At 35.3% G+C, this 23051-nt stretch overlaps 1 protein-coding gene across 3 annotated transcripts in view; it reads right to left on the bottom strand.

The window, feature by feature from the left end:
* BANK1 (B cell scaffold protein with ankyrin repeats 1) overlaps positions 1-23051 on the bottom strand; it is a 284083-nt gene that overhangs the window by 163220 nt on the left and 97812 nt on the right. For all 3 annotated transcript variants that reach the window (NM_017935.5, NM_001127507.3, NM_001083907.3), the window contains one exon: positions 16183-16288. In NM_017935.5, coding sequence (NP_060405.5) covers positions 16183-16288 — 106 coding nt within the window. The remainder of the gene's footprint in view (positions 1-16182; positions 16289-23051) is intronic.

Raw genomic sequence — 23051 nt, 5'->3', positions numbered from 1 at the left:
GCTAAGTAATTAATATAATAAATTTTTACTGAGCACTAGATATTCTTCTAGGGACTGGGAATTAATCTGTGAACCCAATGGGGCTTCTTCCTAAAGGGCAGTATTTACCCATAAGGACAAAATGGCTGATATGTAGGAAATCATATACTAGGAAACAAAAATTACAATGTTTCTAGGATTGCAAAAATAATGAAAAGAGTATCTGAGGTTATTTCAAACTTGTTATAAGTTATTCATTGTAATAGTAATTTATATAATTAGGCAGGAAAACTTGAGAGTCCTTCCTTTAAATTTAAGATAATCTGCCCTGTAAAGTTTCCTCTGACTGTTCTCTTTCTTTTTCACTTCAATGACACCCCGAGCTCATGCTCACTATAGTGTACCGAGGCACAGTCGTCTGGGGACTAGCAAAGTGGCCACTGGAGCTAGGCTGCCTGGATCCAAGTCCCAGCTCTGCCACTTACCATCTGGGCAAAGTATGCAACTTCTCATCTGTAAAGTGGAGATTTAAATGGTACCTACCTCAGGATCATTGTCAGGAAGTAAATAACAACATAAGTAAAGTGCTTAGACCTGTTTGACAGAGTAAGCAAAACGCATGTTAAGTACTATGTGTAGTGCACACACTGTATTCATGGCACTTATTTTTGTAGTTCTGTTTTCTTGTTCCTTGGCTTCTGTGCCCTCTGAGAGTGTGGGCTGTGTCCTGTTTATCCCACACTCTTCTACTTTCCTTCAGTATCTAGAAGAGTACCTACTATGAAGTGGAGTATATTAAACTTTTTGTAAGCATTTCTGAGGGTTTTAAAAAAATGGTATGGGAAAACATATTTTTAGATGAACAGTCACTCTAAGACTACTTCATTCTGCACCCATGGTTTTTTTTTTTTTTTTTTTTCGAGACGGAGTCTAGCTCTGTCGCCCAGGCTGGAGTGCAATGGTGCGATCTCGGCTCACAGCAACCTCTGCCTCCCGGGTTCAAGTGATTCTCCTGCCTCAGCCTCCTGAGTAGCTGGGATTACAGGCATGCACCACCACACCAGGCTAATTTTTCTATTTTTAGTAGAAAATTTAGTAGAGATGGGGTTTCTCCATGTTGGTCAGGCTGGTCTCGAACTCCCGACCTCAGGTGATCAGCCCGCCTCGGCCTCCCAAAGTGCTGGGATTACAGGCATAAGCCATCACACACAGCCTCTGCACCCATGATTTTAATTCAAGGACACAGATGGAATAAAAAATCTATCTTGACTTTAATTTGATATATGTCAATTTTAGTTATGTACATAACAATGATGCCAATCAATTACTGTTCACTCAGTGGTTCTCATTGGTGATTCACAGGAGTAGAATCAGCATCATATAAAAATTTGTGAGAAATGTAAATTCTTGTACCCAACCCAGATCTACTGTATCAGAAATGTGAAGAGAGATGGCAGCAATCTGAATTTTAACATATCCTTCAAGTGACTCTGAAGCCTGCTAAAGTTTGAGAACCATGGCATTAAATAAAAGAAAGAACAGGGGCTTGGTTCTAACAACTAAAAAAAAGTGGATAGACAAGAAAATTGGGGTTAACCTCACAGAGAACTAAATAAAACTGCAAAGTGTACAAAGTAGTGGACTTTCTCTCCATTCTGTTCACAGTTTCTGTAAGAAAACTTCCCTCTTCTGTCATGGTTTACATATTTTAAAATACATTTTCAATAGAGTAAATGGAAAAGACTATAATAGAAGTGAAAATTATGTGTATTATATTTGCCCCATGTCTTTTTACATTTTATGATGGTATGATTGACAAATAAAAATTATATATATTTAGTGTGTACAATGTGATATTTTTATATATGTTGTTGGGAGCAGGCCCCCCAAAATCTGGGCATAAACTGGCCCCAAAACTGGCAATAAACAAAATCTCTGCAGCATTGTAACATGTTCATAATGGCCCTAATGCCCACGCTGGAAGGTTGTAGGTTTACAGGAATGAGGGCAAGGAAAACCTGGCCCACCCAGGGGAGAAAACCGCTTAAAGGCATTTTTTTGTGTGTGTGTGTGTTATACTTTAAGTTCTAGGGTACATGTGCACAACGTGCAGGTTTGTCACATATGTATACATGTGCCATGTTGGTGTGCTGCACCCATTAACTCGACATTTACATTAGGTATATCTCCTAATGCTATCCCTCCTCCCTACCCCCACCCCACGACAGGCCCCGGTGTGTGATGTTCCTCTTCCTGTGTCCAAGTGTTCTCATTGTTCAATTCTCACCTATGAGTGAGAACGTGCAGTGTTTGGTTTTTTGCCCTTGTGATAGTTTGCTGAGAATGATGGTTTCCAGCTTCATCCATGTCCCTACAAAGGACATGAACTCATCCTTTTTTATGGCTGCATAGTATTCCATGGTGTATATTTGCCACATTTTCTTAATCCAGCCTATCATTGATGGACATTTGGGTTGGTTCCAAGTCTTTGCTGCAATAAGCATACGTGTGCATGTGTCTTTCTAGCAGCATGATTTATAATCCTTAGGGTATACACCCAGTAATGGGATGGCTGGGTCAAATAGTATTTCTAGTTCTAGATCCTTGAGGAATCACCACACTGTCTTCCACAATGGTCAAACCAGTTTACAGTCCCACCAACAGTGTAAAAGTGTTCCTGTTTCTCCACATCCTCTCCAGCACCTGTTGTTTCCTGACTTTTTAATGATCACCATTCTAACTGGTGTGAGATGGTATCTTATTGTGGTTTTGATTTGAATTTCTCTGATGGCCAGTGATGATGAGCATTTTCTCATGTGTCTGTTGGCTGCATAAATTTCTTCTTTTGAGAAGTATCTGTTCATATCCTTCGCCCACTTTTTGATGGGGTTGTTTGTTTTTTTCTTGTAAATTTGTTTGAGTTCATTGTAGATTCTGGATATTAACCGTTTGTCAGATGAGTAGATTGCAAAAATTTTCTCCCATTCTGTAGGTTGCCTGTTCACTCTGATGGTAGTTTCTTTTGCTGTGCAGAAGCTCTTTGGTTTAATTAGATACCATTTGTCAATTTTGGCTTTTGTTGCCATTGCTTTTGGTGTTTTAGTCATGAAGTCCTTGCCCATGCCTATGTCCTGAATGGTATTGCTTAGGTTTTCTTCTAGGGTTTTTATGGTTTTACGTCTCACATTTAAGTCTTTAATCCATCTTGATTTAATTTTTGTATAAGGTATAAGGAAGGGATCCAGTTTCAGCTTTCTACATATGGCTGGCCAGTTTTCCCAGCACCATTTATTAAATAGGGAATCCTTTCCCCATTTCTTGTTTTTGTCAGGTTTGTCAAAGATCAGATGGCTGTAGATGTGTGGTCTTATTTCTGAGGGCTCTGTTCCGTTCCATTGGTCTATATCTCTGTTTTGGTACCAGTACCATGCTGTTTTGGTTACTGTAGCCTTGTAGGACAGTTTGAAGTCAGGTAGTGTGATGCCTCCGGCTTTGTTCATTTGGTTTAGGATTGACTTGGCAATGCGGGCTCTTTTTTGGTTCCATATGACCTTTAAAGTAGTTTTTTCCAATTCTGTGAAGAAAGTCATTGGTAGCTTGATGGGGATGGCATTGAATCTATAAATTACCTTGGGCAGTATGGCTATTTTCACGATACTGATTCTTCCTACCCATGAGCATGGAATGTTCTTCCCTTTGTTTGTGTCCTCTTTTATTTCATTGAGCAGTGGTTTGTAGTTCTCCTTGAAGAGGTCCTTCACATCCCTTGTAAGTTGGATTCCTAGGTATTTTATTCTCTTTGAAGTAACTGTGAATGGGAGTTCACTCATGATTTTGCTCTCTGTTTGTCTGTTATTGGTGTATAAGAATGCTTGTGATTTTTGCACATTGATTTTGTATCCTGAGACTTTGCTGAAGTTGCTTATCAGCTTAAGGAGATTTGGGGCTGAGATGATGGGGTTTTCTAAATATACAATCATGTCATCTGCAAACAGGGACAATTTGACTTCCTCTTTTCCTAATTGAATACCCTTTATTTCTTTCTCCTGCCTGATTGCCCTGGCCAGAACTTCCAACACTATGTTGAATAGGAGTGGTGAGAGAGGGCATCCCTGTCTTTTGCCAGTTTTCAAAGGGAATGCTTCCAGTTTTTCCCCATTCAGTATGATATTGGCTGTGGGTCTGTCATAAATAGCTCTTATTATTTTGAGATATGTTCCATTAATACCTAATTTATTGAGAGTTTTCAGCATGAAGTGCTGTTGAATTTTGTCAAAGGCCTTTTCTGCATCTATTGAGATAACCATGTGGTTTTTGTCTTTGGTTCTGTTTATATGCTGGATTACATTTATTGACTTGCATATGTTGAACCAGCCTTGCATCCCAGGGATGAAGCCCACTTGATCATGGTGGATAAGCTTTTTGATAAAGGCATTCTTAAGCCACAAACAATAGCATGAGTGATCTGTGCCTTAAGGACATGTTCCTGCTGCAGTTAACTAGCCCAACCTATTCCTTTAATTCAGCCCATCCCTTCGTTTCCCATAAGGGATACTTTTAATTTAATATCTATGGAAACAATGCTAATGACTGGTTTGTTGTTAATAAATATGTGGGTAAATCTCTGTTCGGGGCTCTCAGCTCTGAAGGCTGTGAGACCCCTGATTTCCCACTTCACACCTGTATATTTCTGTGGGTGCATCTTTAATTCCTCTAGTGCCACTGGGTTAGGGTCTCCCCAACTGAGGTGGTCTTGGCAAGTGGCGTCCATTGTGGGGGCTCGAATCCAAGTTGATGGGTCTCAGAGCAACAGTTGGAACAGAAAACTAGCTGGAAGACACCCTAGTACTCTTAAAGCAATCCCCGTGGTGAGTAAGAAGGGGAGCTCAGAAGCATCAGGGTAACAATGGTACAGGTGTGGGGTCTGGTTCGTTTCACTTTGGAACTTTTTCACACTGATGATGAGGAGGAATGAGAGTATAGCAAAGTAACAGAAGAGGTTACACAGCATGTTTATTTACCAGCTAAAGCTAAAGCGGCAAAGGAAGGGAAAGGTTCATCCCTACCCTTCTGCACCCCCTCCTTATTATTTGAAGAAAAAGACCCTCCAGATCTTTATTTTCCAGAGGACACTGGGCAAAAAGTGGTTGCCCCAGTGACTGAGCAGCGCCTTGAACGACCACTCTTAGTTCTATTCAGGCAGGAATTCAGCAAGCTAGATGAGAGGGTGATTTAGAGGCTTGGCAGTTCCCTTTTAGAATATACCCCCCGATCAACAGGGAAATATTATAGCTACATTTGAGCCTTTTCCTTTTAAATTACTCAAATAATTTCCACAAGCTATAAATCAGTATGGACCAGGTTCTCCTTTTGTAATGGGACTGTTAAAGAATGTTGCTGTTTCCAGTTGGATGATTCCTACTGACTGGGACACTCTTACACGAGCTTGTCTTACTCCTGCTCTGTTCTTACAATTTAAAACTTGATGGGCAGATAAAACTTCCATTCAGGCTGCTCGCAATGCCCAGGCCCAACCTCAAATTAATATAACTGCAGACCAACTTTTGGGGGTTGGCACCTGGGCTGGTTTAGATGCACAATTGGTCATGCAGGATGATGCCATAGAACAGCTTAGCAGAGTGTGCATTAGAGCTTGGGAAAAAATCACTTCAAGTGGGGAACAATACCCTTCCTTTAGTGCTATAAAACAGGGACCAAGAGAACCATACGTTGATTTTATAGTTTGGTTACAGGAATCTCTTAAAAAGATGACTGCAGATTCGGCTGCTCAGGATATAGTGCTGCAGTTATGAGCTTTTGACAATGCTAATACTGTTTGCCAGGCTGCTCTGTGACCTCTCAGAGGGAAAGCACATTTAGTTGATTATATCAAGGCCTGTGATGGTATCGGAGGCAATTTGCATAAAGCTACTCTGCTAGCACAGGCAATGGCAGGACTGAGGGTGGATAAAGGAAATACCCCATTTCCTGGGGCTTGTTTTAACTGTGGGAAGCATGGTCATACTAAAAAAGAATGTAGAAAAAATCAGCGAGTCAGGCCGCCAGATAGGGAAAAAAGAAAACTGCTGATCCTGAAATATGTCCACAATGTAAAAAAGGAAAACATTGGGCTAATCAGTGTCACTCTAAGTTTGATAAAGATGGGAACCCGATTTCGGGAAACACCGTGAGGGGGCCGTCCCATTCTAAACGGGGGCATTTCCAGCTCAGGCCATTCCCTCGCTCCCGTGCAATGTCTGTCCCCCACCACAGCTGGTAGTGCCACAGTAGATTTATGCTGCACAAAAGCTGTGAGCCTTCTGCCTGGGGAACCCCCGCAAAAGGTCCCAACAGGAGTCTGTGGACCCTTGCCAGCAGGGACAACAGGATTACTTTTAGGAAAGTCTAGTTTAGGTTTAAAAGGGGTACAAATACATACAGGAGTCATTGATTCAGATTATAATGGAGAAATTCAAATTGTTGTATCTACTTCTGTTCCCTGGAAAGCAGAGCCAGGAGAACACATAGCACAGTTCCTGATTGTGCCATTTGTGGAAATGGGAAAAAGTGAAATTAAACGAACAGGAGGATTTGGAAGCACAAATAAACAAGGCAAAGCAGCTTATTGGGTAAATCAAATTACTGATAAATGTCCTACCTGTGAAATAACTATTCAGGGAAAGAAATTTAAAGGTTTGGTAGATACAGGAGTGGACATTTCAATCATTTCTCTACAGCACTGGACGTCTGCATGGCCAATTCAACCCACTCAATTTAACATAGTTGGAGTTAATAAAGCCCCTGAAGTATATCAAAGTAGTTATATTTTGCATTGTGAAGGGCCTGATGGACGACCTGGGACTATTCGACCAATTATAACTTCTGTACCTATAAATTTATGGGGAAGAGATTTATTACAACAATGGGAACACAAGTTCTAATTCCAGAACAATTACATAGCCCTCAAAGTCAACATACAATGCATGAAATGGGGTATGTCCCTGGTATGGGTCTAGAAAAAAATTTGCAAGGTTTGAAAGAACCACTTCAAGAGGAAAAACAAAGTTCCTGCCAAAGATTAGGAAATAATTTTTGATGGAGGCCATTGTTAAGCCTCCAGAACCTATACCTTTAAAATGGTTAACAGATAAGCAAATTTGGATAGAACAATGGCCACTAAGTAAAGAGAAACTGGAGGCTTTAGAGAAATTAGTTACTGAACAATTAGAAAATGGGCACATAGCTCCAACATTTTCCCCTTGGAATTCTCCAGTTCTTGTAATTAAGAAAAAATCAGGCAAATGGAGAATGTTAACTGACTTAAGAGCTATCAATTCAGTCATACAACCTATGGGAGCATTACAGCCAAGATTGCCTTCTCCTGCTATAATTCCAAAAAACTGGCCTTTAGTAGTCATAGATTTAAAAGACTGTTTCTTTACTATCGTTTTAGCTGAGCAAGACTGTGAACAGTTTGCATTTACAATTCCTGCAGTAAACAACCTGTAGCCTGCTAAACGTTATCACTGGAAAGTGTTGCCACAGGGCATGTTAAACAGTCCCATAATTTTCCAGACGTTTGTGGGGCAAGCAATTGAACCTACTCATAAAAAATTTTCACAGTGTTACATTATTCACTATATGGATGATATACTTTGTGCTGCCACCACTCGAGAAATTTTACTCCAATGTTTTGGTCACTTGCAAAATTCAATTTCTCGTGCTGGTTTAATTACAGCTCCTGATAAAATTGAGACTGCTACTCCTTACTCCTACTTGGGGACCTTAGTAAATGACACTACCATTGTGCCACAGAAAGTAACCATACGTAGGGATCAACTAAAAACATTAAATGACTTTCAGAAATTACTAGGGGACATTAATTGCATACGACCTGCTCTAGGCATTCCTACCTATGCCATGAGTAATCTGTTTTCTATCCTTAGAGGAAATCCTAGTCTTATTAGCCCTTGGCAATTCACAAAGGAGGCTGAGGCAGAGTTACAACTAATTGCAAAGCAAGTCCATAGAGCTCAAATAAATTGAATAGATCCAGAGAAGACTCTAGATTTGCTAATTTTTTCAACTCAGCATTCACCTACTGGTGTTATTGTCCAAGAACATGACGTAGTAGACTGGCTTTTTCTTCCACATACTAATTCACAGACTCTAACTCCTTATTTACATCAAATTGCTACTATGATAAGAATTGGGAGAACTCAGATTGTTAAATTACATGGTTATGATCATGGAAAAATTATTGTCCCTCTCATGAAGGCACAAATACAGCTAGCTTGTATAAATAGTCTTACTTGCCAAACCCATTTAGCTGACTTTGTGGGTATTCTCCATAATCATTTTCCTAAAATGAAGGTGTTTCAGGTTTTGAAATTAACTAATTGGATTCTCCCTAAAATAACTAAATCCAAACCAATTGAAGGTGCTGAGAATGTTTTTACAGATGGGGCTAATAATGGTAAAGCTTCTTATTCTGGCTCAAAAAGTAAAGTTTTCCAGACGCCCTATACTTCAGCTCAAAAAGCAGAGCTTGTAACTGTAATTAAGGTATTCACTTCTTTTTATATGCCCATTAATGTGATTTCTGATTCTTCATTCGTGGTTCATTCCACACAGTTAATTGAAACTACTCAGTTACGATTTCATACAGATGAACAACTGATGACTTTATTTACCCAACTGCAAACAGCAGTTAGAAGTAGAATGCACCCTTTTTACATCACTCACATTAGGGCTCATACACCTCTTCCAGGACCTTTGACTAAAGGGAATCACATGGCTGATCTCCTAGTTGCTAATGCAATATCTAATGCTAGACATTTTCACAATTTAACCCATGTTAATGCCTCTGATCTCAAATGCAGATACAGCACTAAGGAATATTTATTTGGAAGAACTGATCATATGTTGAACTTAAAGCAAGGCTCAATAAATTTCAAAGATGTAAAAAAGTATATAAATGGACAATTATAAAAGATACCATTAGAACAACAGCACAGACCTTTGTAAATATCAGATGAAAGTAAAAAGGGAATAAACATCAGTCAAATTAGTAAGTATAGATTAAATCATCTACTTTAAAAATATTTTAAAATTGCAATCCCAACTAAAGCCCACATCATGCTAACTTCCAAATACCCTTTATACAAAACAAATTGAAAATTACATGCTAAACAATATTTATAATAATTTATTTCTTAGAGAAATATAAAACCTTAATAGCATTTTTAGAAAAACAGTATTGTTAGAATAATATTTCAACTAAACATTACCCATTATATTCCTACAAAAGTAATTTCCATTTGCATCTTGTAGATAATGATCACGAGGAAGATAATTTCTTATAGTCAACCAGGTGTCATGGGTAGATAGAGGTCATGCTTATTTTTCAGATTTCTGTTATTGTCAAAAGTTTGTTCTGTAAGAATGTATGAATAATTCTCATCTTTCCAGGTCACATTTTCAGCTTCCAAGATGACACAAGTCAGAAACGGATACTTAGCCAGATAGGAATGGTGTAAAATTGGCTGGAGATGGGCCAGGCGTGGTGGCTCACACCTGTAATCCCAGAACTTTGGGAGGCCGAGGTGGGCAGATCACGAGGTCAGGAAATCGAGACCATCCTGGCTAACACGGTGAAACCCTGTCTCTACTAAAAATACAAAAAAATAGCCAGGTGTGTTGGCGGGCGCCTGTAGTCCCGGCTACTCAGGAGGCTGAGGCAGGAGAATGGTGTGAACCTAGGAGGCAGAGCTTGCAGTGAGCTGAGATTGCACCACTGCACTCCAGCCTGGGCGACAGAGCAAGACTCTGTTTCAAAAAAAAACAAAAACAAAAAAACAAAAAGCGTCTGGAGATAATGCAGCCAACTACTTCAGCTTTCAAGCCTTGTTTGCTTTTTATCATCTGCCTCTTAATGCTGGTGTTCTCCCACTTTTTGAGTTTTTGAGTTCTTTGCCTAATCTGTTACTTTTTTTTGATGCATCTGCTATTCTGTCCTTTGTATTTCACATGAACTTGTTCATAATTTGTCCTATAGCTTCTAGTCATACCTTTCCCAATATCTGTGCATCTTAACTCAGTCTTATTTATCTGATATAAACTCTGGAGATGCTTAAAATAGGGAAAAGGTATACAGCAAATGAAACTGAGGTTCACTACATTGGAAAATGAGCAAAAAAGCAGTCAATTGAAATTTTACATAGACCTGTTCTACGTTTTATCTGGATAGCTCTTTTTCCTCTCTACTCATTAACACTTTGCATTGTCTCAATCAGTCTGCATTCCCATCTGTTTTTAGATATTTTGTGGCTTTATATATTTGGGGTACATAATGAATCAGAATTATAATTCTTTATCTTCCCAGGCATTTGCTCTATAAATAATACCTATTGGTACTGAGTTTCACGAGAAACCAATATATCTACATTATTTTCATGGCACAAAGAATTGGGAGTACCTAGATCCATGGGGGTACATTTCTAGCATTAATGGATGGTGTTGTGTATATCACAAGTTATTTTGTGGGCTTTTTTCACTTCTCTCTGGAGTAGGACATGACATGGTTGATAATTTTCTTCTCTCAGAAACTTTATCTTCAGTTGGCTTTTAAAAGACCTTGAGTGGCTGCTTCTTCTCAGTCTCTTTATGGAAATTTCTCTCCCAGGCCTCTAAATACAACAATGCGTAGGACTCAGATGTTTGCCCTGCTCTGCCCTCTCTGCAGAATAATCTCATTCAGGCTATGGCTCTGAATATCACATATGAGCTCCTTCCTGGGTGTTTGACTTATATACTTAATACCAACCAATGTATTATCTTTTAATTAACATAGCCAAAGTAGAACTTTTGATCACACTGTCAAAACTATTCTTGCCATAGCACCTCTATTTCAGTTAACAGCATTGATATTTATTTTATTTATATTTTTATAAACATGTCTTTAGTTACACACAGACCCGTCCTCTCTTTCCTTCATCTGCAATCTATCAGTATGTCCCACAATCCTTACTTTCAAAGAGCTACCAAGCTCAAGCAAATCTCTTCACCTCCACTGCTAACACCCAGGTGACAGCCACCTTCAAGCCTCTCCTGTCACTACTAAGACAGCCTCCCATCTGGTGTTCCTACTTTCATTTTTACACACCATCATCTATTCTCTGCGTAACAGCAAGAGTAATATTTTGTCTTATGTAATTAGATGATATTAAGCGATGTGTAAAATCCTCACATGGCTTTTCATCACTTCCTAACTATCTTCTCACTTTATTTTTCTCATAACCCTTATCACTATTTGCAATGGTCTTATTTTGTTGCTACTGTTTTATTACTCTGTTACTCTCAGTGACTTAAATAAGTTTCATGAAGAAGAGCTTTCCTATACAGGCCGCCTGTTTCTGGAGCACCTAGAAGAGTGGCTCTTAGTTTGTACTTGTTACATAAATGAATGAATAAGATTGCTTAATAATCTTTCACATCAAGGTGTTCTAATTGGGAGAAAATACTATGTCCACAGGCTTACCTTTTTCATCTATAATTACAGGGTCCTCTATTATTTCAGAATATGTGTTGTTATGGTAATGGAATTGGGCTGAGAGGGGATTATAAAGGTCATTGAAAAGTGGAGAAGGGCTTACCATTCCTAAATGCTTATTCCTTAAAGCTGGACTCAGGATAGCACATTGCCTATGCTTCGCAGTGTTAGATTGCATCCTGAGGCCAAAAGATTTCTTTGACTCTGTAAGAATGTCCTGTCTTCTCTATCTATGCTCCTTGTATACTCAGGCCAGAGGTAATTCCTTGTCTGGGGAGTGATTCTAGGATGACGAAGGCCAAATTCTCATCCTGGTATCAACCTTGTTGTTTAGTTTTTTTCCTTTTTTCTCTCCCTTCTTCTTTCCTTCCTGTTTTGTACTCACAGCCTCCAACCACAGTATGTTTGTAAGCATACCTTTTCAAAATTCACATCTGGGGAAATATAGAATCTTTGAAGAAACACTGTAAACGTGAATAACAATAGTATAATTTTGAAAAAATCTTTTTTTGGTTACGCAGGTAAAAAAAATTTGGAAGATTCAAACTGGCTGTTTTATTTTGTATTATTTGATTCAAACTGAAGCATCAGTTCATAAAATTAGCTTGAGAATATGCTAAAATTATTATTGGCAAGAGATGCGAAAATTTGTACTTGTGGGTTGTATTAGCAAAAAAATGGAGTGGAAAAATCTATAATTTTACAGTCAATTTACATGCCAAATCTCCAATTTAATCACTAGAAGTTTTTATAATGTCTTATGTATACATCAATCCCTAATTTAGTGTGTTTACTTAATGATGATGTGTTTGTTACTAATTTGAAATGAATTTACAGGACTACATTTTTCCCTACCATCTATTACTTTTCATCCCAGAAAAAATACTCTTGCCCATTTTTTTTTTCTTTTACATTGATTTCTTCACAGCTTCTGATTTTCTTCTCAGGGGGTTTAAAATGCAAACGGAACAGGTCCGTAAAACTTCATGCTTCGCAAAATTTGTATACTGGAAAAATATCTCAAAAAGATTTCTTATAAAATCTCCTCAGTGTTGATTTTATCTTTTCTTAATTTTCTTTTCAGAGAGTAGTAATTCCTCACTTGCTAAAAGTCTTCTTTCTCTGTAGAGCCATGATACATTATATAATATTTGGTTTCATCCCAATATTATAGAATATTATTTGTTATGTATTTTCCCTCTTATTTCCACCCACCCATATAATGCAAGAAAACATGAGTGTATTGTCTAGAGAGGAATAAAAAATGACCAAGACCTATTGACATGGAATGGTATTTTACTTATTATAAATGAAGTGGCAGGAAACTAAACCCAGAATTTACCAAAATAACTCTAAATTGAGGATGCGGCAATAATAAGATTTTTTGGTTGATATAGCATTTCACTCCATACTTTTAAAGAACCATAGGTATCTGCAGGTAATTCCATGACAAATCCTTACGGTAGGTCAATCTTAATGTATACTTTTTCAATTCCTTATGATTATGTTCTCTGAGAGAGACTCAATTTCTCAATTTCCCATAGCTAACATACAGAGAAATAAATAATAATTGTTTAATAAATAAAATAGTTCACCAAATAAAGACCTGTCCTCAGGATAGATACCTGGGGTAACACCTGATTCATGGTTTGCTGAATTCACCTCTCAGAATGCCTCTAGTAGGTTCTTCAGCAACCCACCATTTCTCTTTCCAATTCCCTTGATTAATATATGTATAAAGGTAACTTAAACCCTATCAACTTGAACATTATGAAACACAGGTGCAAAGTCTTAAAGGCTAGATATTCTGAAGCTGACATTGATCCAAGACTATTGGATCAAGGAGGCAAGCAAAACCCTAGCTGAGTCATATTCATGTCTTTACTGCATATTCTTATTATATATATTATGTTATTTTGTATTTTAATTAGAAATTAGAGCTTAATGTTATGGAGATTCTTTGGCTCTGTTATATATAGGTTTTATGACATCTGTTATGCAATAATACCCAGCAATAATGCTTCTGAATGAGTTATCTGGATTATAGTAAACTTTTCATTTTTAGCTTTAAGTTTTTTTTTAATTTTATAATTTTTTTCAGATACAAAATTACCATTAAATTATAGTGATGGTTCAAAACTTTCATATACTACTATCTTTATAACCTTTGTTAAGAGAGGGTAATATTTTTTTCTGTGTCAAAATTCAATATAAGGAAGAATTATTTTGCTGGTCTATAATACATTGAAGCAATTAGGGGCTAGTAAATTTGACTGCCCATTGAAATCACCTGGGAAACTGTAACAACTACTGATGGCTGGGACCTACTCCCAGATTAATAAATTGGTATAGGGTATGGCTTGGACATAGGATGTTTTAAAAGCTACACAGGTGATTGCAATATGCAGCCAAGTTTGAGAACAATTGCTCTAAAGTCTTAGTACCTAGTGAGAGGTATGAGGTGTAGCAGCATCAGCTTCACCTGGAAGCTTCTTAAAAGGCAAACACTTAGAATGTACCCCAGCCCTGCTGAACCAGATTCATATTTTCAGGGACTCCGATATAACCCATCCAGAGTTCTCCATCTATAAAAATAAGGGGCCACAATTGTCTCAGCTTTTTTAGCTCTAAAATTCATATTCCACAACCTAAACAGTATACCGAGAGGCAGTTTTAATCTTATCTGGAATTCTTTACATATAAAAACAGGAAACCAAAACCATGCCATCTTCTCCATCTCCACAATTTTGATTCCAGAAATCTAAGCAAATATAATGCTGAGGAAATTTGTAAAATTGTGTCATAATTCCATCTTCACACCATTGTATGCACTTTCTCTTGCCTAGAATTCCTTTTTCCTTTCTCTGTCTTCATTGGTTCCCTAGCTTGAATGAAGGTTATGACTAGTATCAAATCACTCAAGACAAACGATTACAGGAGATGAGGAGATGGGTCAATTACCAAAACCATGAGGTGAGGAGTGGTTTGTGGAACAAAAGTTCCTAATTAAGACTTTTGAAATAATTTCCAAATAGAACTAACCTGTTACCTAGCCTGCTTTTTATTCAATTAAGTATACATTGGAACATTATTCAAGCCAGAAAATACATTTACAATAACATTAATTTCTGATGGTTGTATTAATAGATGCACCAAAATTTATGTAATCAATTATCTATCTTTGGAAGATTATTTTCATTCTTTTGGCAACTATAATTATTTAAGACCTAGGTAAAATCCCACTTCCTTTTTGAAGCACATCTTGAAAAATAATGTACCCTTTATCTAAAATTCTATTGTTAATATAATCACTACCACCAAGTTTATCTCATTGATTCTTTCTATAAATACATGTATATTATTTGTTTTTCCAATTAAATTATGTGTCATATGTAAAGAATCATATGCTCCTTTTCTATTCTCATCTAGTATTTAATTTTGTAAGTGAATTACATATTGTTAAAAATGTATATTGGAAACAAAAATAAAATGTCGCTAATTTCACAAGACTACTTATTCACAGTTAGCATACCATTGGCTTTTCTTCCTAACGGAACCTCACCATTATGCAGCTTCTCACAAATCTAGGTGAATCACAAGCAGTTGTGCCTTAGGATTCCTACTCTTTTCTTATTACTGTCTTGAAGCCTTCCAGGCTGATGACAAAACTGCTTTAAATAGCACAGAAACCCTACAGAAAATAAAACTCTGCTCATTAATTTTTAATATGTCAACATTAGACTTCTTACATTCTTTAGCTTCATGTCTGTCATATTCACCATTACATCTCTACTTCAGTGTTTCACACATAGGCATATAAATGAATTATAAACAGTATGTCAACAAACTATGCAGGAACAAAAAAAAATTCTAAAATATACTACTGACCTCACGATGACATCTGGAAATATAATTTTTCATGTATATCTCCTACATATACTTTTCTTGATATTTGTATATTTTTAACCACATATATAATACACAGTTGTAGAAAATACAGACTCAATAAGGTGAAACAAGATGTAATATTTGAAATTGCACAACCCAAACATAACTACTGTGAACATCAATTTACATATATAAACTTATCTGTCCAGACCATCAATTTATATATATAAACTTATATGCTGTTAAATGTACACGTACTTTTTTAAACAGATGATCACACTCTCTCTCTGCTACATAGCCTGCTTTTTATTCACTTAAGTATACACCAAAACATCACCCCGGGAAGCATAAATTTATAATAATATTAATTTCTGGTGGTCACGTTAATAGATGTATGAAAATATGTATAATCAATTACTTATCTTTGTAAAATATTTCCACTTTTTGGTTATTATAAACAATGACATGATGAATAATTTCTATCCTAAATGAAGTTGCCCAAACATTTCCTTAGAGTAAAAGTCAAGAAGTAAGCTTTTTAATTGCAAAAGTTACGTGCATTTTTAAGGCCTGAGATAAAAAAAATTACCAAACGAACATTCAGAAGTTTGTACTAATGTACCCTTTCACCAGGAGTCAGGAGTTGTCTAAATCATCTCATCAGCAGTGCAGCTACCTATATTTTTGGTTATAACATTCATTAAAGAGTTACATAGAATGGAATGTGATAAAAAGAATAATTGATGCAGCTGGAAAATACTCACATTTGTTTTGAGAACAAATTTCAGTTTGAAGAGACTGGAACTCATAATATGGTATCTCATGTTTGAATATGGATGTAAGGACACCATCAAGTTCTTCAATGCTATTCTGTTTTCAAGTGAAAAAGAAAATTTTCACTAGGTTAATTATTTACATAGAAACTCATTTTAGTGCAATTTAACAAAAATTTATTAACTGGAGTAAACAATGGCTAATCTTTAGTAATACTGATAACTTTTTAGAAAGAATAAATCAAAACATAAGGGCCTTGCCTAAAAACCAATTACTAAGATAACAGAAAAATGGATTCAAGAAATAAAAGTCTCTGCTTTTGGATAAGAAACTATAACTTTGGATAAGAAAATATAACTTTATATTTTATAACTATAAAATATAAATTTTAAAAGAGAATTACAATAGGTCAAGGATAACCATGAAATTTGTTTCAATAATAAATTTTGGTAAAAATATATTTTGCAGTTTAATAAATGAAATGATAAAATGATCAGTCTTTTTCTTCAACTTAAGGATCAGAAGTGAAATGGTTTAAATTATATTATTGCTGTGTCTAAGTGAGGGAAAATATTTATCTTGGCCTTTCTTTACCCCTGCAGATACAGAGTAACTATATTCTACTCTATTTCTCTAACCTAAGCATCTTGGGAGGAGCCATCCAGTATTCAAGTGTTCTACTGCCCATGATATAACCTGTTACAAAAACCAGTATTCTTTTCAAGTTGTCTTATGTCATGCTATGACTGGGACGAAATTGCTCAAGACACAGGTGATTATAGCTAAGGAGGTGGGCCAATCAACAAAGTCATGGGATGAAGAGGGAACTGTGGAACAAAAGTTTCTAATTAAGAGTTTTGAAAGGATTTCCAAAAATAAAACTATAAATATTGTCAAGACATAGTCACAAATTAAATAACTGTACTGAAAAAAAGATATTTTTGTTCATTTATTTCTTAATTTTTCAGAATTCAGGGTGCAAGTAATAAAGTGGTTTAGGTCTCCCTGGATTTCTTGAAAGTCGTGCTAAGAAGTGAAAAGAAGGAATGAAAAATCGTTTTCTCAACTTGTAGCTATGTAATGCATAACAAAACCCAGCATTCATAAGCATCTAGTAAACACCACAGATTGTGCAAAGCTCTTAGCTCTGGATTACATTTTTTTAAAAAAGAAGGGAAAATGTGACAAAAAGCTCTGCCTTCCAAAAATTCAGTAATGTAATCACATATGGGCAATGAAGAGTCCCAGATACCATGTTGAAAGTCACTGTGAGTTAGGTGTAGGGTGGGCAAAAGGAAACTGCCTCAATTGCACGAAGAAAGAACTGGCCAGCAAAGGCTTTATGGAAGACATGCTCCAAATTGAGATGACCATACACACAAGGAGCATTCTAGACTAAACAAACAAATTGCATATAGGCATGTAGGTATCATATGCATGGCCTGGTTAAGGACTCTAGGTACTTCCATAAGAAAAAGAAGAGTGAGAGATAAAAAAGAAGTGGGGATTTCAAATAAGGCCTTGAACACCTGATAAGTTTGCAATTCATTTTGTACTCAATGAGTAATTGTTTCAGGCCTATAATGCTTAATGTGGAAACATCTATAATGTGAAATAAATTAAACTTATTTAGGTTTTAGCATAATTATGATTGTTTATGTAGTTGAGTATTTATATTCAGTGGAACCTATCCTATAAATGAAGATGACACAATTTTATATTAGTTGTTATTACTGTTTTAATCTCTTCAGGAAGCCTTTGAAAGGAGCAGTGGGGCAAAAAATTATTGGTAATATGTTGACACTTTATACTAAAGCTAAAAAAAGTGTTTTAGTGATACAAACTGATGAAAGAAATTTTAAATATATGAAAATCATAACATTAGTTTGTAAATTTTCTTTAAAATTTGTGTCAATGGCCATGACAGTTCTGTATAGCATATTATCTAGCCATTGACATTTTTACATGAGGAGCTCCATCGCCATTTCTTTTTAAAAATATACAAAATCTAGTGGGTAGAGATTGATGTGGCATAGAGTTATTACACTCACGTATAAGTTAGGCATAAAATAGCTTCTGGGATTCCTTCCAGATCTGAGACTCTAAAACACAGATGAGAATTCAAAACAGCAAGAGTTCCCACTAGGAATATGAAAACTACCATTTCTCATGGAGGGTACCACAGCACTTTAATGAGAGAAATGCCATAGATAATATAGTTAAATTTTAAAAATAAAGTAGCAATGTATTCAGAATGAGAAAAAAAGGTCACCACATAGACAAAGACAATTAATTAGGAAAGAATATGGATAACTCTTAATATTCCAGCCCACCATAGTTAGTTGAATCTAACCACTTCTATTTTAATTTAATAATCATACTCCTAGTATTATGCTTGCACATAAATAAGTGGTATATAACACAAAACAAAGATGTGAAAAATCACAGAAATGGCTATGAAAAATAATTCCAAGATTTCTCCTTAGAAGACAACCTAACCAAAAATATCTGACTGGAGTAGTTATGCTCCTTTTAAAATTATGTTTCAAAGACACAATATGTATCCTTTCTAAACATTGGCATTGAAATTTTAAAATGACATAAATTAGAATTTTTCTCTTCTTATAATAAATTGTGCAACCCAAAGAACATTTGATGAAGTTGATACAATTGTACAAATCTTTCAAAAAGAAAGATTGAAATAAAATAGTATAAAGTTTGCTCATCAAAAAATCACATTTATCCTAAGACTTTAGTTAATGAACTTGATGTGAAATTAAGAATAGAACAAAATGATGAAATTATATTAGTGTTATTATTTTGTTATTGAACAAATTAAACACATATCCATAATATATACATATATATATATACATATACATGCATACATGCATCTGTATTTATTGACAATATTGGAAAAAGAAAACAGAAAACAGACTGAGAAATGAAATAACCAGAAGGCTGGTTAAAAAACAATGCTTTATGTTCATGAAGAAAGTGTTAGACTACTCCCAAGAAAATTTTTTTAGTTCCAGATGAGGGAATAAGGGATTGATGAATGTAACTTAAAAATCATTTGCATATGTATTTATAAATCACAACTCTATTTGAATCTGAAAGTGTTATATAAATTTACACTTATTTCTGATAAATAACTTTATTATTATAACTATTTCTTCCTAACTAGAAAATATAAATATAATAAAGATATAAATTATATTTTAAATAATATTCAGAATTATGGAATTTACTTCTGGAAAGATGTAGTAGTCCTACTTTCCTTTTTCCTCTCCCTAAATACAAATAAAATGTCCAACTTTCAGTAGAAAATCACTTTTTATATGAAGTACCTGGACGATCGCAAATTGATTGTAAAGAAACAACCAATAAAAATGCCAACACCAAGAGGACAAAGATGTTAGAATTATCTGTCAAAGGTTTGAAAACAGCTCTGGTAAAAAAAGTAGTTCAGCAAGCAATTATAATCATGCTTGAAACAAATAAAAAATAGAAAGCTTTATCAGGAAAACAGAAATTCTCAGCAAATAAATAGAAGATACAAAGAAGAACCAACTAGAATTTTTAGAACTGAAAATACAGTAATCAAAATTATACCTCACTGGGTAGGCTTAACAGTGACATGAAGAGAACAGAGGAAACAATCAATGAACTTGAAGACAGAACAATAAAAATTACTCAATCTGAACAATAGGAAGAAAATACACTGAAAGTAATAAGCAGTTTCAAGCACTTTTAAGACTATAACAAAAGATTGAACATTCTTGTGATCAGAGTCCCAGGAAGAGATGAGAAACAGGGTGGGGATGAAAAAGCACACAAGGAAATAATTCCTAGAAACTTCCTGAATTTGGCAAGAGGCATAAACCTATAGACGGAGCAAGCTGTGAAAAGCAAAAACAGGATAAACCCCTCCAATTCCATGCCAAGACTAATCATAAAACTTCTGGAAACTAAATACAAAGAAAATATTTTGAAAAAAGTGAAAAATAAATAAAACTTTATCTATATGGTAAAAACAATTAGATTGCTAGAAGCAGCTATGAAGGACAGAAAGAAGTGGCAAAATATTTGTCAAGTGTTAAAAGAACTATCAACCCAGAATCTTATGCCCAGCAAAAAATACCCTTCAGGACTGAAGAGAAAATCAAAGCATTTCTGATAAAGAAAAACTAAGGGAATCTGTTATCAGCAGATGTGGCCTAAAATAATGGAAAAAGAAAAGTTCTCTAAAGTATAAGGTTATAATGAAAGAAGACCTTTTGGCACATCAGAGAGCAAGAACACAATAAGCAAAAGTATAGGTAAGTATGATAGACTTTCCTTCTTCTCTTGAGTTTTCTAACTCATACTTGACAGTTAAAGATAAGGTATAACACTGTCTTATGTGTTCTAAATGTATGTAGTCAAAATATCTAAGACATTTATATTATAAATGGGGGATGGGTAAAGAGAAGTCAAAGGAGGTAGGATTTTTATACTTCACTCAAACTGGTAAAATGAAGACAGCGCTAGACTATAAGTTTTGTATATATAATATAATACCTACATCAACAACTTAAAAAGTTGTGCAAATAGGTGCATTTAAAATACAAGAGATACATCAAAGTGAATTTCTTTAAAAAAAAAATAAGTAACACACAGGAAAGCAAGAAAAAAAAAATAACAAATGAAAACAGAGAAAATTAAAAACAAAAAATAGAGTGGATTTAAAAATATGATTTAACTATATGTTCTCTTTATAATAATAATTATAAAATTTATTTATTTTTTATAATAAATAAAATCAGGTTTTTATAATAAATAAAATTATACTTTAATAATATTTATAATAAGTAAAATTAGCAGGTTTAAGTAGAAGAATAAAACAGATATAGCATGCAAAAATTACAAAGGAAAGCAAAAATGGCTATATTAATATCAATAAAATAGACATCAGAGCAAAAAAATTTACAGGAGACAGAAAGGGACCTTATATAATGATAGAGTCAATCCATCAAGAGGACATAGTAATCCTGAATACATATGCACCAAAAAACAAAACTTCAAAAAATGTGAAGGAAAAATGGACAGAACTGAAAGGAGAAACAGACAACTCCACAATGACAGTGATGACTTAAATATCTCTCTTTCTACAATTGGTAGACAGAAAATCAGGAAAAAATAAAAAAATTCAAACACACCATCATCCCAATGATCTAACCAATCAGCATCAATCCACATACATAGACCACTCCATCCAGTAACAGCAGAATACATTCTTTCCAAGGGTTTGAGAAACTTATACCAAGATAGATCATATCCTGAGGCATAAAACAAATATTAACAAATTTAGAATAATTTAAATCATACAGTGTCTTTTCTGACCGCATGGAATCAAACTAGAAATCCATAACAGAAAGATCATAGGAAAGTGTCCAAATATTAAGAAACCAAACAACAATGCTACTAAGTAATCTGTGGGTCAAAAGGAAACTCTGAACAGAATTTTAAAAATACATTAAACTGAATGAAAGTGAAATACAACATATCAAAATTTTTGGAACATAGCTAAAGGAGGGCTGAGAAAATTTTATAATACATTGGAAAAGAGAGAAAGTCTCAAATCAATTATCTAGGTTCCTACTTCAAGAATTCAGAAAAAGAACATAACAATCTCAAAGCAAGCAGAACAAGAGAACAAAAAGTATAACAGCTGAACTCAAAATTGAAAGTATGAAAACAATAAAGAAAAACTATAGTAACAAGTGATTCTTTTTTTTTTTTTTTTTTTTTTTTGAGACGGAGTCTCGCTCTGTCGCCCAGGCCGGACTGCGGACTGCAGTGGCGCAATCTCGGCTCACTGCAAGCTCCGCTTCCCGGGTTCACGCCATTCTCCTGCCTCAGCCTCCCGAGTAGCTGGGACTACAGGCGCCCGCCACCGCGCCCGGCTAATTTTTTGTATTTTTAGTAGAGACGGGGTTTCACCTTGTTAGCCAGGATGGTCTCGATCTCCTGACCTCATGATCCACCCGCCTCGGCCTGTGATTCTTTTAAAAGATCAATAAAATTGACAAACTTCTAGCAAGACTTACAAAGAAAAATAGGGAGAAAATGCAGATTACAAATATCACAAATGAAAAAAAAGATATCAATACAAACCCTGCAGACATCAAAAGAATAAAAGGGAGTATATGAACAATTCTACATACATGAGTTTGATGATTTAGATGAAATGAACCAAGTCCTTGAAAAACACAAACTACCATAATACACAGTCCCTTTCTATATAACCTACAACTATATATGAATGTACAATTATCTAAAAAATAAGTTTAATTAAATACTAACGATCCCCCCAAATATTTATTACACAAAACTGAATTCCTTGAGATATATAGATACTTATATAAAAGCACCCCTTCGAAGTTGGATTTCACTCCTCTCTTTGATGAGGGGTGTGAACACTGAGCAAAATGGCATCGAGAGGCTGTATTTGAAAGCATTTTAGGACAGTATTACATAATGTAAATAGCTGGGAAGTATTTCAGATCACTGGAGTGCTGTAAAAGGATATGTTATAGGAATAAGCATGCAATGAACGGATTCAAACAGTTTAACTAATAGTAATAACTACCACATGCGGAGCACTGCTAATGTGCCAGGCTCTATATAAGCTATCTCTAACTTTTATAACATCCTGCAAGGTAGATTTTTCTAAATGTCTACTTTTATAGAGGTGATAAGCATGATACAAAAAATTCAGTAACACGCAAATTGGCAGAGCTAATAAGTGGTAAATAAAGATTCTAACTTAGATCTTTACATTCTAAACACAGTAAATTTAATCCTACATTCTAAT

Source organism: Homo sapiens, chromosome 4 (assembly GCF_000001405.40).
Source record: "Homo sapiens chromosome 4, GRCh38.p14 Primary Assembly".
In the NCBI taxonomy this organism is placed as follows: Eukaryota; Metazoa; Chordata; class Mammalia; order Primates; family Hominidae; genus Homo; species Homo sapiens.
This window is presented reverse-complemented; position numbering and strand designations above follow the sequence as displayed.